We start from the raw sequence: 12,645 nt of genomic DNA on the forward strand, positions 1-12,645 counted from the left end.
ACAGAAGGTCCTGGAAAGACACAGAAAAATGGGAACAGTAGTTACCCCTATGATGGAAACTGAGGGCTGGGGGCCAATAGTAGGAAAGAACTTTCTTTTCATAATCTAAACTCCTTTGTATCTTTAAAACTTTCTGCCATATCAACAAGTTTAAAAATAATTTTAAAACAAAATACAAAATAAAAACTGAACAGTCCGGGTGCGGTGGCTCACACCTGTAATCCCAGTACTTTGGGAGGCCGAGGCAGGTAGATCATTTGAGGCCAGGAGTTCGAGATCAGCCTGGCCAACATGGCAAAACCCCATCTCTACTAAAAAAAAAAAAAAAAAAAAAAAAAATTGCAGGGTGTGGTGCACATGCCCTGTAGCCCCAGCTACTTGGGAGGCTGAGGCAGGAGAATCCCTTGAGCCCGGGAGGTGGAGGCTGCAGTGAGCCGAGATCACGCCACTCAACTCCAGCCTGGGCGACAGAGTGAGACTCCGTCTCAAAAAATAAATAAAATAAAAACAAAAACTGAACATTCATGATGATGAAAAATCAAAAGTAACCTACATGCCGTCCACAGGGGAAGGCAGCAGCCTGCAGCCAAGGGTGAGGTTGATCCCTGCTTGCAAAGGCAGACGGAGCTCCAAGGCCGACTATGGGAAAAGGGCGCCACAGAACAATTCGTGCGATGAAAAACCTCACGCGACGTTCCCTTTTCCTGTGGATAGATCTGCATCTATGCACAGGGCAGACAACTCCCAACACGGCCAGGGGTGATCCCTGTGCTTGCTAGAACTGGGGGTGGCAAAGACAACTTCAGATGTTCACGTAACTTTTTTTTTTTTTTTTGAGACGGAGTCTTGCTCTGTTGCCCAGGCTGGAATCCAGTGGCGCGATCTCGGTTCACTGAAACCTCCGCCTCCCGGGTTCAAGCAATTCTCCTGCCTCAGCCTCCCAAGTAGCTAGGATTATGGGCACGCACCACCACGCTCGGCTAATTTGTTTTTTTTTATTTTTATTTTTTCAGTAGAGACAGAGTTTCAACCATGTTGGCCAGGCTGGTCTCGAACTCCTGACCTCAGGTGATCCACCCGCCTCGGCCTCCCAAAGTGCTGGGATTACCGCCACCGGCCTTGTTCGTGTAATTTTGTATTTTCTCATGATGAATACATCCCAAACTCATTTTATTTTATTTTACTTTATTTTTTAAAGGCTGGAGACTGATGAAATGTCAGCAGTAGTTGCTTTGGTGTGGTGAACAATGCATGATTTTAATTTTTTTTTTCCTTTTTCTACTTTTCAAATACTCTACAACGAGCAGATCTCGAATGCCCAGCAAAAGCTAAGCTCCGCGAGGCGGCCCTGGAATGAGGCGACCCCGGAATGAGGCGGCCCCCGCGAGCGCCAGGCCCCCGCCCAGCGCTCACTTACTTGTCTGGGACGCCGGGTGCTCCTGGCTTCTCTGGAAGGGGTACCTGAACAGCAGCTTATTGCCCCTGCTCCCCGAGCTCACCAGAATCACGCTGATGGGGCTGGTGTTGTCCCGCATCCCGCCGTGGGGCCGGGGCCGGGGGCGGAGGGGGCCAGAGGAGGACGGAGCCGGAGGCGGAGGGGGCCTGAGGAGGACGGAGCCGGAGGCGGAGGGGGCCTGAGGAGGACGAGGCGGGGACGCAGGGGGCCTGAGGAGGGCAGGGGTGGAGGCGGAGGGGGCCTGAGGAGGGCAGGGGTGGAGGCGGAGGGGGCCTGAGGAGGGCAGGGGTGGAGGCGGAGGGGGCCTGAGGAGGGCAGGGGTGGAGGCGGAGGGGGCCTGAGTAGGGCAGGGGTGGAGGCGGAGGGGGCCTGAGGAGGGCAGGGGTGGAGGCGGAGGGGGCCTGAGGAGGACAGGGGTGGTGGTGGACGCGGAGCAGCGCCACAGTTACCAACCCACGTGCCACGCTCCGGGCTCGCGAGACTTCGGCGACACCGTCCGGAGGAGGTGCTAAGGCGGCGGCCGGGAGAACGGCGCAGGCGCAGGCGCAGGCGCAGGCAGCGGAATGCGCAGGCGCGGGGCCTTCTGGAAGCCACCGAGTTCCGCGGTGCTGTCTGGAGCCGTACGGTTCGCGTTTGGGGCACAGGGGCCCCTCTTGCTGGTGCGGATGGGAAAGGCGCGGGGTCGAGTCAGCGTCCCTCTCGATGTTGGTTTCTTCGTTTTACAAATAACACTTGGGCGGGGCGCGGTGGCTCACGCCTGTAATCCCAGCATTTTGGGAGGCCGAGGCGGGCGGATCACGAGGTCAGGAGATCGAGACCATCCTAGCTAACATAGTGAAACCCCATCTCTACTAAAAATTAGAAGAAATTATCCGGGCGTGGTGGCAGGCGCCCGTAATCCTAGAGGAGAATCGCTTGAACCCGGGAGGCGGAGGTTGCATTGAGCCAAGATCACGCCATTGCACTCCACCCTGGGCGACAGAGCGACGAGACCCCGTATCAAAAAAAAAAAAAAGAAAGAAAGAAAGAAAAAAGAAAAAAAAAAGGCCGGGCGCGGTGGCTCACGCCTGTAATCCCAGCACTTTGGGAGGCCGAGGCGGGTGAATCACGAGGTCAGGAGTTCGAGACCATCCTGGCCAACATGGTGAAACCCCGTCTCTACAAAAAAAAAAAAAAAAATTAGCCGGGCGTGGTGGCGGGCGCCTGTAATCCCAGCTACTCGGGAGGCTGAGACAGGAAAATCGCTTGAACCCGGGAGGCGGAGCTTGCGGTGAGCCGAGATTGCGCCACTGCACTACAGCCTAGGCGACAGAGCGAGACTCCGTCTCAAAAAAAAAAAAAAAAAAAAAAAACACTTGGAAGCCGACAGGAGATCTTTGAGACCTTGGGCGAGGCAGTGACACTAAAGGCAGGAGCGACTACAGAAGAATAAATTAAACTTCATCAGATTAAAAACTTTACTGCGGCCGGGCGCGGTGGCTCACGCCTGAAATCCCAGCACTTTGGGAGGCCGAGGTGGGCAGATCATGAGATCAGGAGATCTAGACCATCCTGGCCAACATGGTAAAACCCCGTCTCTCTACTAAAAATACAAAAATTAGCTGGGTTTGGCGGCGCCTGCTTCTAATCCCAGCTACTCGGGAGGCTGAGGCAGGAGAATCGCTTGAAGCCGGGAGGCGGAGGTTGCAGTGAGCCGAGATCGTGCCACTGAACTCTGGCCTGGCGACAGAGCGAGACTCCATCTCAAAACAAAACAAAAACTTCGGTGCTTTAAAGGACACCATCAAGAAAATTAAAAGTCCACCCACAGAACGGGAGAAAATATTTGTAAGTTACATATCTGATAAGGGAATTGTATCTAGAATGGAGGAAACTTACAACTCAACAATAAAAAGACAATTGAAAAATGCACAAAGGATATGAATATTTTTCCAGTGCATTATGCAAATGGCCAATAAGCACCAGAAGATGCTCAGCTCAACTGGTAGAGGCTTACGCCTGTGACCCCAGCGCTGAGAGGCCAGGAACTCCAGACCAGCCTGGGCAAAACAGAAATTAAAAATGCTCAACATTATTAGGCATTAGGGAGATGCAAATCAAAACTACAAATAGATGCCACATCACACCTCCTACGATGGCTGTAATCAAAAAGACAAGCGTCAGCAGGGGTGTGGAGAAACGGGAATCTCTCTCCTGCTGGTGGGAATGTAAGAGGCTACACTCGCTATGGAAAACAGGCTGGCAGTTCCTGAAAGGTTAGAGTTAACACAACACTCGGCAAATCCCCCTTTTAGATATATAGCCAAGAGAAATGAAAGCATATGTCCACACAAAAACATGTGTGTTCTTAGTAATATTATTCATAATAGCCCAAAGTGGAAGCAATCCTAGGGTATATCAATTGATGAATGGGTGAATATGGTATAGTTTGTTTAAGGGAATACTATTCAGCCATAAAAAGGAATGAAGTACGGCACATGAATCCATCTTGAAGACACACTAATATATGATTCCATTTATATAAGATGCCCAGAATAGGCAAATCCATAGAGACAGAATGATTAGTGGCTGCCTAGGGCTTCCAGGGGGTCAGGGGAAATATGGAGCGATTCATGGGTTTTTTGAAGGGGAGTGATGAAAATGTTCTAACGTTGACTGTGGTAATGGTTGGACAGCTCTGAGAACGCGAATACACTAAAAGACATGGAAGTGCCGGGCGCAGTGGCTCATGCCTGTAATCCCAGCGCTTTGGGAGGCCAAGGCAGGCGGATCGCGAGGTCAGGAGATCGAGACCATCCTGGCTAAGACAGTGAAACCCCGTGTCTACTAAAAATACAAAAAATTAGCTGGACATGGTGCGGGCGCCTGTAGTCCCAGATACTCAGGAGGCTGAGGCAGGAGAATGGTGTGAACCCGGGAGGCGGAGCTTGCAGTGAGCCAAGATCGCACCATTGCACTCCAGCCTGGGCGACAGAGCGAGACTCCATCTCAAAAACAAAAAAAAGATATGGAAGTGTACACTTGAAGTGGATAAGCTTTATGGTATGCAAATTGGTATGGTATGGTAAATTATATCTCAATGAAGTTGTTTTTTAAAAAATCACCCCACCTACCCTATCCCAGGCTTCCCCAGGAGGTAACTAAAGGTAATGAGCTTCTTTGGCTGCTTCCAGAACTTTCCCAAGCACATCAAATGCATCAGAACCTAACCACTTGACTGAGGGATGAGCATTTTCACTGTTGCAAGTAACCCTCTTGCACCAACACTGACACTAATGTGTATTTTGCAGAACAAATTTGTGGATTGGCCTCACCAGGGTGAAGGGTACGTGCATTTGAAATGGCTCAACAGTACCAACAGGTGCGTTTTCTTGCACAGGGCTGCATAACATTTTTTTTTTTTTTTTGAGACAGAGTCTCGCTCTATCACCCAGGCTGGAGGGCAGTGGCACAATCTCAGTTCACTGCAAGCTCCACCTACCAGGTTCACATCATTCTCCTGCCTCAGCCTCCCAAGTAGCTGGGACTACAGGTGCCCGCCACCACACCAGGCTAATTTTTTTTTTTTTTTTGAGATGGAGTCTTGCTCTGTCGCCCAGGCTGGAGTGCAGTGGCACGATCTCAGCTCACTGCAAGCTCCACCTCCCAGGTTCACACCATTCTCCTGCCTCAGCCTCCCCAGTAGCTGAGACTACAGGCGCCCGCCACCACGTCCGGCTAATTTTTTTGTATTTTTAGTAGAGACGGGGTTTCACCGCGTTAGCCAGGATGGTCTCGATCTCCTGACCTCTTGATCCACCCGCCTCGGCCTCTCAAAGTGCTGGGATTACAGGCGTGAGCCACCGTGCCCGGCCTGCATAACATTTTTTTTTTTCCTGAAATTCCCAGAAAGGAAAATGGTGTCTTGTTCTATGTTGCATTTCTTTGATTGAGAGGGAGAGCTGCATCACTTAATTATTTGCAGAGAATTGCTTTTCTTGTTTTCTTTACAGGTGGTCTGTTCTTGGATGGTCTGGCTGTGTTCTTTCTGAGGAATACATAACCTCTGCTACACATTTTGCAAGGCTTTATCCCCGTTGTCCATGTTTTGATTTTATGTATAATCAAAAGGTTTGTGAGTTCTCCCGCACTTCCCAGGAGTGCCTCTGGGATGGAAATGAGACTGCAGGAGCAGGGCTTGAGGCTGGAGGGGTGAGATGGGACAGATGGGGGTGGGGGAACCCAGGGCAGTGGCCGGTGGTGGTAATGGAGGCCTCCTCACAGGGACCCTCACAGCGACCATGCGAATGGAGCAGGACTGTGACTCAGGTCTCGCTCTTCTGACCTAATCGTGCTGCTGCCCCAATGGGCAGAACCTTGGGGCTCCAGACTGGACATCTCTGGGCTCAAAGGATCCCACTGTTCCCCCGGTTACCCTCTCAGGGTTGGCCTCCTGCCAGTAACCCTGGCACTCATTGTTCATTCTTCTGACTATCGTCAGTCATAATGAGAGCTCGAACTGGTGAAAGTGCAGGGAGCTCACCATGACCCCAGCCCACAGAGGTCCTGGGTGCGTCCCTGCCCTCGAAGCAGCACTCTGGATCCCAGCGCCACCCTCATGTCCATGTTTGCACCTCATTGGCTGTGACAGAAATGAGACATCATTGTCACACGCTGGCCTGAGGGTCAGTGGGCCTTGCTTTGGACCTCAGTTTCCCCACCAGTAACAGGGTTCAGAGCAGATGGTCCCTGAGTGAGTCCCAGCTCTAAGTTCTCCCAGGGTCTCCTGGACAATGAAGCACCAGGGCCAACCTCCATTTGCTACAGGGGACATCCTCAGGCTCTTCTCTGCTAAGACCCCACACCTCCAAGTCTCCTCATTTTACCTTTAAATAGCTGTTTCATGACCTGCTTTTTTGACGGTAAGTAGATTTTTGGAAACTGAAACCCCTGACCCTTCCTCCCAGCCTGGGCCTGCCCTTGGCAGGATAGGAGGCCTTATCGGTCCTGCCACTTGGTCTGGGCCTCAAAGGGCCACCGCCATCTGCAGGAGGGCCGGGTGGGGTTCACAGACGCTATCTGGGACTTGCCTGGACACCTCCACCTTCTCAGCTGAGTGTTGCTGCCCCACCAGGGAGAACCACTCACACACAGTAGTAATAGAAATAATTTAAAATTCATGCTGCAAGTTCCTGAGCGCCCTCCCAACACTGAGGTGGGGGCTAGTCTAATCCCCATCCTAGAGGTGAAAACAGTGAAACTAGGACTCACAAGGCAAATTAGCCTGTTCAGGGTCACCGAGGGTCCACTCTCATGGGAGAGTTTGCAGATGCCCAATCCGGCATTCTGCTGAGTGTCCAGTGGCTTGTAAGTGGCCAGACACCCTTTGAGCTCAGCCTCAGCTGCTCAGGCACAGAACGTGCCTGGAGCTTGGAATTCAGGCCAGAAACCACCAGTGGACACCAGCATTCCACACTCACTGCACAGGCTGGGGCTCAAACCAAGGCCCAGGGACAGGAAGGGACAAGCCCCAGCCCCAGCCGGACTCCCAGCCCACACAAACCATCAGGGCTTGTTTCCTGCTCCATGGAAGCCTCAGACATGTTTCATAACCTCCTGGAGCCTCCGTTTCCTTATCTTTCCAATGTAATGATGCCCATGTGCAGTGGCTCACGCCTGTAATCCCAAGCACTTTAGGAGGCCGAGGTGGGTGGATCACTGGAGCTCAGGAGTTTGAGGCCAGCCTGGGCAACATGGCAAAACGCCATCTCTACTAAAAACACAAATATTACCCAGGCATAGTGGCACATGCCTATAGTCCCAGCTACTCAGGAGGCTGAGGTGGGAGGATCACCTGAGCTTGGGAAGTTGAGCCTGCAGTGAGCCAAGATTGTCACACTGCACTCTAGCCTGGAGGACAGAGTAAGAAGACCCTGTAACAAAACAAAACATAACAAAACAAACAAACAAAAAACCCAACTAATGACAATAAAATAAACCCTCCCTCACAGGGTGGTTGTGAGGATAAAGCACCCAGAATGAAGAGTGTTGCTGCCATGTGCAGAACTTAGAAAGTGCTCAACAGATGCCAGCCAAACAGACATGGACTCCCCTCAACACAGTCAACCCAAGGTTGACTGTCACCAAACGCAAAAGACCACACTGTAAAGCTTTTAGAAATGTGGTCTAGTGGCCGGGCACTGTGGCTCATGCCTGTAATCTCAGCACTTTGGAAGGCTGAGGCGGGCGGATCACAGGGTCAGGAGTTCGAGACCAGCCTGACCACCTGACCAACGTGGTAAAACCCCGTCTCTACTAAAGATTCAAAAAATTAGCCGGGTGTAGTGCTACGTGCCTGTAATCCCAGCTGCTCGGGAGGCTGAGGCAGGAGAATCGCTTGAACCCAGGAGGCGGAGGTACAGTGAGCTGAGATCGCGCCATTGCACTCCAGCCTGGGAGACAGAGAGAGACTCCGTCTCAAAAAAAAAAAAAAAAAAAAAGTTAGCCGGGTGGTAGTGGCATGTACCTGTAATCCCAGCTACTTGGGAGGCTGAGGTAGGAGAATCGCTTGAGCCTGGGAGGTAGAGGGTTGCGGTGAGCCAAGATGGCGCCACTGCACTCCAATCTGGGCGAGACACTGAGACCCTGTCTCAAAAAAAAAAAAAAAATGTGGTCTAGGAGACTCTCTTCACTTTGAGATAAAATTTGCATCACGTAAAGATAACCATTTTAACGAGAGCAAGTCAACGGCATTCAGCACATTCAGAGTGTTGTGCAACAACCACTTCTCCCTGGTTCCAGGACATTTTCATCGCCTCAGATGGAAACGCCCTCCTCACGGAGGCATCTCTCCCGGCCTTTGTCCTCCCCGGCCCTGACAACCACTAATCTACTTTCTGCTGGGATTTGCCCATTCTGGATGTTTCCTAAAAATGGCTTATCTAAGCCCCACAGTTTCATGCAGCACGTAGCCTCTGGTGTGTGACGTCCTTCACTTGGTGTAATGGTTCGAGGCTTGTCCATGTCGTAGCCTGGGTCAGAACTTCATTTTCATGGCTGAATAATATCTCACGGTGTGGAAATATCACAGTTTGCTTATCTGTTCATCCAGTGATGGACATTTGGGTTGTTTCTACCTTTTGGCTATTGGGAATGGAAGGGATAACATTTTTTAATTGGATTTTTAAAGTCACTAGTTTGACTGCATTAAAATTACAAACTTTTGTTTAACGAGAATATCACTAAGATACAGAGTTGGGGAGATCTAACACATAAAAGTGACAAAGGAATTATATCCAGAATATTTTTGAAATTTCTACAAATCAGTGACTGGCAACACAGTGGGAAAGTGGCCAAGACTAAAATACTTTAATAAAGAGGAAACCGAAATGGCCAGTAAATATGGGCTCAACCTCACTAATTATCAGGAAAATGTAAATTAAGACCACAAGAGAAACCACTACACACTCACCAAAAATCACACACCCAATAAAAAGGTAATTTTTTTTTTTTTTTGAGATGAAGTCTCACTCTATTGCCCAGGCTGGAGTACAATGGCGCGATCTTGGCTCACTGCAACCTCCGCCTCCTGGGTTCAAGCGATTCTCCTGCCTCAGCCTCCTGAGTACCTGGGATTACAGGCGCACACCACCACACCCAGCTAATTTTGCATTTTTAAGTAGAGACGGGGTTTCACCATGTGGGCAAGGCTAGTCTCGAACTCCTGACCTCGTGATCTGCCCGCCTTGGCCTCCCAAAGTGCTGAGATTACAGGCATCAGCCACTGTGCCCGGCCTAAAAAAGGCTAAAATTTAAGAAGACCAGGAGTTTGACTGCTATGGTTGGAATGTTTGTCTCCTCTAAAACTCTTGTTGAAACTTAATCCCCAGTGTGGCAGCGTTGAGAGGTGGGGCCTTTGGGGTAAGGAGGTTGGATCATGAGGGTCCTCCCCCAAGGAATGGATTAATGAGTTGTCATGGGAGTGTGGCTGGTGGCTTTATAAGAAGAGAGACCTGGCCGGGCACGGTGGCTGACACCTGTAATCCCAGCACTTTGTGAGGCCGAGATGGGCGGATCACAAGGTCAGGGGATCGAGACCATCCTGGCTAACACAGTGAAACCCTGTCTCTACTAAAAAAAAAATGCAAAAAAATTAGCCGGGCGTGGTGGCGGGCACCTGTAGTCCCAGCTACTAGGAAGGCTGAGGCAGGAGAATGGCGTGAACCTGGGAGGCGGAGCTTGCAGTGAGCCGAGATCGCGCCACTGCCCTCCAGCCTGGGCGACAGAGCAAGACTCTGTCTCAAAAAAAAAAAGAAGAGAGATCTGAGGTGGCACACAAGCATGCTCAGCCCACACGACCTGCGATTAATACTCTGTGCCACTTTGGGACTCTGCACGAGTCCCCACTGGGCTCGAAACTTCTCAGCCTCCGTAACTATAGGAAATAAATTCCTTTTAAAATAAATTCCACAGTCTCAGGTATTCTATTATAAGCAACAGAAAATGGAGTACTACACCGATCATATCAAATGTTTAGAAGGATTTGGAGCAAGGAGAATGCTCGCACACCACTAGGGAAAACATAAGTTGGTTAACCACTGTGAAAAAGTTTGGCATTCTTTACTAAAGTTGAAAATCTATATGCCCTATGACCCAGCAACTTTACTCCTAGGTATGTATGTACAAAATAGAATTTCAGGCATGTGGGTACCAGGTGACATGTAAAGGAATGTTTATTGCAGCATTATTCATAATAGCCAAGAACTAAACAACACAAAGTTCCAGCCCCAGTACAATGAATAAACTGTGGTATATTCCTACAAGGAAATATTAATAGATACAGCAATGAAAATGAACACATATAACATGGCTGGTAAATCTGACATGAGAGAGTGAAAGAAGATGGACATTCAGTGTGCAGACAGTTGGATTAAAAATATTTTTTTAAAGGCCAGGCTTGGTGGCTCACATCTATAATCCTAGCACTTACAGAGGCCAAGGCGGGCAGATCACCTGAGGTCAGGAGTTCAGGACCAGCCTGGCTAACACAGTGAAACCCCATCTCTACTAGAAAATACAAAAATTAGCCAGGTGTGGTGGTGCATGCCTGTAGTCCCAACTACTCGGGAGGCTGAGGCAGGAGAATCACTTGAACCTAGGAGGCGGAGGTTGCAGTGAGCCAAGATCGCATCACTGTACTCCATCCTGGGTGACAGAGCAAGACTGCGTCTCGAAAATAAATAGATAAATAAATAAATAACCAACAGGCCGGGAGCAGTGGCTCATGCCTGTAATCCCAGCACTTTGGGAGGCTGAGGTGGGCAGATCACGAGGTCAGGAGATCAAGACCATCCTGGCTAACACAGTGAAACCCTGTCTCTACTGAAAATACAAAAAAATTAGCCGGGCATGGTGGCGGGCGCCTGTAGTCCCAGCTACTCAGGAGGCTGAGGCAGGAGAATGGCATGAACCCGGGAGGTGGAGCTTGCAGTGAGCCGAGATCATGCCACTGCACTCCAGCCTGAGCGACAGAGCGAGACTCCATCTCAAAAAAATAATAATTAAAAATAAATAAATTAAATAAATAAATAACAGATTGCATAAAGTGGCTCATGCCTGTAATCCAAGCACTTTGGGAGGCCAAGGCAGAAGGATCACTTGAGCCCAGGAGTTCAGGACAAGCCTGAGCAACATGGTGAAACCCCACCTCTACAAAAAAAAAAAAAAAATTAGCTGGGCATGGTGGCATGTGCCTGTGATCCCAGCTACTTGGGAGGCTGAGGCAGGAGGATCACTTAAGCCTGGGAGGTCGAGGCTGCAATGAGCTATGATCGTACCACTGCACTCCAGCCTGGGCAATAGAGCAAGACCCTGTCTCAAAACAAATAAACAAAAGCCAGACAGACACAAATGAGAGCATTCTGTATCGTTTCATTTCTATGAAGGTGAAAAGCAGGCAAAAACAACCAAAGTGCTTGCAGATGCATATCTGAGTAGTTAAAAACTTACTGAAAAGCAGGCCTGGCTCACGCCTTTAATCCCAGCACTTTGGGAAGCGGGCGGATCACGAGGTCAGGAGATCGAGACCATCCTGGCTAACACGGTGAAACCCCGTCTCTACTAAAAATATAAAAAATTAGCCAGGTATGGTGGCTAGTGCCTGTGGTCCCAGCTACTCGAGAGGCTGAGGCAGGAGAATGGCATGAATCCGGGAGGTGGAGCTTGCAGTGAGCTAAGATCGTGCAACTGCACTCCAGCCTGGGCAGCAGAGCGAGACTCCCTCTCAAAAAAAAAAAAACTTACTGAAAAGCAAGAAGTCAGGTGGAGGTTACCTTTGGGGAGGATTGGGGTGCTGTCCGCTTTCTAATAATTCGTTAAACTATAGTCTACATCTTGTGCTATATTTCACAATGGAAAAACAGAAAAGAGCTCCTGCCCATAACGCTGCTTTGCAGGTTTGGAAATTTCAGATTCAATTCCTCTCCTTGCGGGGGCCAAGGATGGGAAGAGCAGGTGGTTCCAGTAGGGAAAGAGGAGGCCCTGGGGCCTCAAAATGGCTAAGGACCATTCCTCAGCGTGGGTGGCACCTACCCTGGAAACAGGACTCTACTTCCTCCTCTGTTAGGGGGCAGAGCAGCCCTGCAGTGCCTTCTGGGCACAGGTCCTCACTCTGCAGCTGGAGGAATTCTCCCAGGCACTGAGAGCCCTTCACGGCCCAAATGCCCCGTGCGCTCGGCCTCTGGACTTGCCTTCCCTGCTCTGTATATCTCCCTCCGCCTGACCCTCAGCCTCCTCCATCACTCACTGTCTTCTCTGCCAGTCTATTCATCTGTCTCTGTCCCTCTCTCTGCCACCTTCTCTCCTATTGAGAAGCCGAAACCTCAGGCACAGACCCACATCCCCTCCTCATGGGCCCATGTGCCCAAGGTGCCCCTAGGTGCCAGGCTGAGATGAACCAGGAGTGTCCTTCTGAACCCAGCAACAGCGAAGGGTGACCAGGGAGGGCCAGTTCATCTCGGTCTGAAAGAAGCCCCAGATGAGCAAAGGATACACTGGCCTCCTGCGGTCAGCAGCACTTCCCAGGACAGTGAGCAAGACAGGGGTAAGGCCAGAGTGGGTGGGCACACCCATGGGAGAGAGGAGCCGCTGTGAAATGTGCACGAGGAACAGACCAGCAAGGAGGATCCACGCAGTGCTAGAAGGGAGTTCCT

General features: G+C 50.4%; 1 protein-coding gene across 5 annotated transcripts in view, besides 8 other annotated features; it reads right to left on the minus strand.

Moving 5' to 3' along the window:
- The window catches only part of NPRL3 (NPR3 like, GATOR1 complex subunit), a 53,288-nt gene extending 51,347 nt beyond the window's left edge, over positions 1–1,941 (minus strand). For 2 of the 5 annotated variants that reach the window (NM_001077350.3, NM_001243247.2), the window contains exons 1-2: positions 1,910–1,941; positions 1,418–1,602 (exon numbers count right to left, since the gene is read on the minus strand). In NM_001077350.3, coding sequence (NP_001070818.1) covers positions 1,418–1,535 — 118 coding nt within the window. In that variant the 5' untranslated portion in view covers positions 1,536–1,602; positions 1,910–1,941. Of the gene's footprint in view, positions 1–1,417 lie in introns of all 5 variants that reach the window. The other 3 variants (NM_001039476.3, NM_001243249.2, NM_001243248.2) reach the window with 2 other exon arrangements.
- Positions 1–12,645: part of a locus control region, noted in NCBI's record as "regulatory region from 0-65 kb upstream of the HBZ (hemoglobin, zeta) gene; 5' extent approximated based on the cNFG2 cosmid described in PMID:2253879", that runs on past both edges of the window. NCBI's record gives its function as "regulates expression of the alpha-globin genes during erythroid development" and the evidence as "EXISTENCE:transgenic organism evidence [ECO:0001131][PMID:2253879, PMID:1425590, PMID:17110138]".
- Positions 1,371–1,600: a silencer, noted in NCBI's record as "silent region_6902". NCBI's record gives its function as "represses an Ori minimal core promoter by ATAC-STARR-seq in GM12878 lymphoblastoid cells {active_cell/tissue: GM12878}" and the evidence as "EXISTENCE:reporter gene assay evidence [ECO:0000049][PMID:35858748]".
- Positions 1,821–1,870: an enhancer, noted in NCBI's record as "active region_10201". NCBI's record gives its function as "activates an Ori minimal core promoter by ATAC-STARR-seq in GM12878 lymphoblastoid cells {active_cell/tissue: GM12878}" and the evidence as "EXISTENCE:reporter gene assay evidence [ECO:0000049][PMID:35858748]".
- Positions 6,036–8,040: a DNaseI hypersensitive site, noted in NCBI's record as "includes HS-8 and HS-10; erythroid-specific; 2005 bp BamHI-BglII fragment; the nucleotide coordinates are approximate for this feature". NCBI's record gives the evidence for it as "EXISTENCE:in vivo cleavage assay evidence [ECO:0001075][PMID:15782197]".
- Positions 6,223–6,741: a transcriptional cis regulatory region, noted in NCBI's record as "candidate enhancer chr16.29 targeted for multiplex CRISPR interference". NCBI's record gives its function as "positively regulates HBZ gene expression with high confidence in K562 cells {active_cell/tissue: K562}" and the evidence as "EXISTENCE:mutant phenotype evidence [ECO:0000015][PMID:30612741]".
- Positions 6,371–6,516: a conserved region, noted in NCBI's record as "conserved region; multispecies conserved sequence MCS-R4; overlaps HS-10". NCBI's record gives the evidence for it as "EXISTENCE:sequence alignment evidence [ECO:0000200][PMID:15998734]".
- Positions 8,125–8,521: a transcriptional cis regulatory region, noted in NCBI's record as "candidate enhancer chr16.30 targeted for multiplex CRISPR interference". NCBI's record gives its function as "positively regulates HBZ gene expression with high confidence in K562 cells {active_cell/tissue: K562}" and the evidence as "EXISTENCE:mutant phenotype evidence [ECO:0000015][PMID:30612741]".
- Positions 11,122–12,121: a DNaseI hypersensitive site, noted in NCBI's record as "HS-4; the nucleotide coordinates are approximate for this feature". NCBI's record gives the evidence for it as "EXISTENCE:in vivo cleavage assay evidence [ECO:0001075][PMID:22955617]" and "EXISTENCE:manual assertion [ECO:0000218][PMID:8248238, PMID:7689876, PMID:17110138]".

The sequence above is a fragment of the Homo sapiens genome, chromosome 16 (genome assembly GCF_000001405.40).
Source record: "Homo sapiens chromosome 16, GRCh38.p14 Primary Assembly".
NCBI classification, from domain to species: Eukaryota; Metazoa; Chordata; class Mammalia; order Primates; family Hominidae; genus Homo; species Homo sapiens.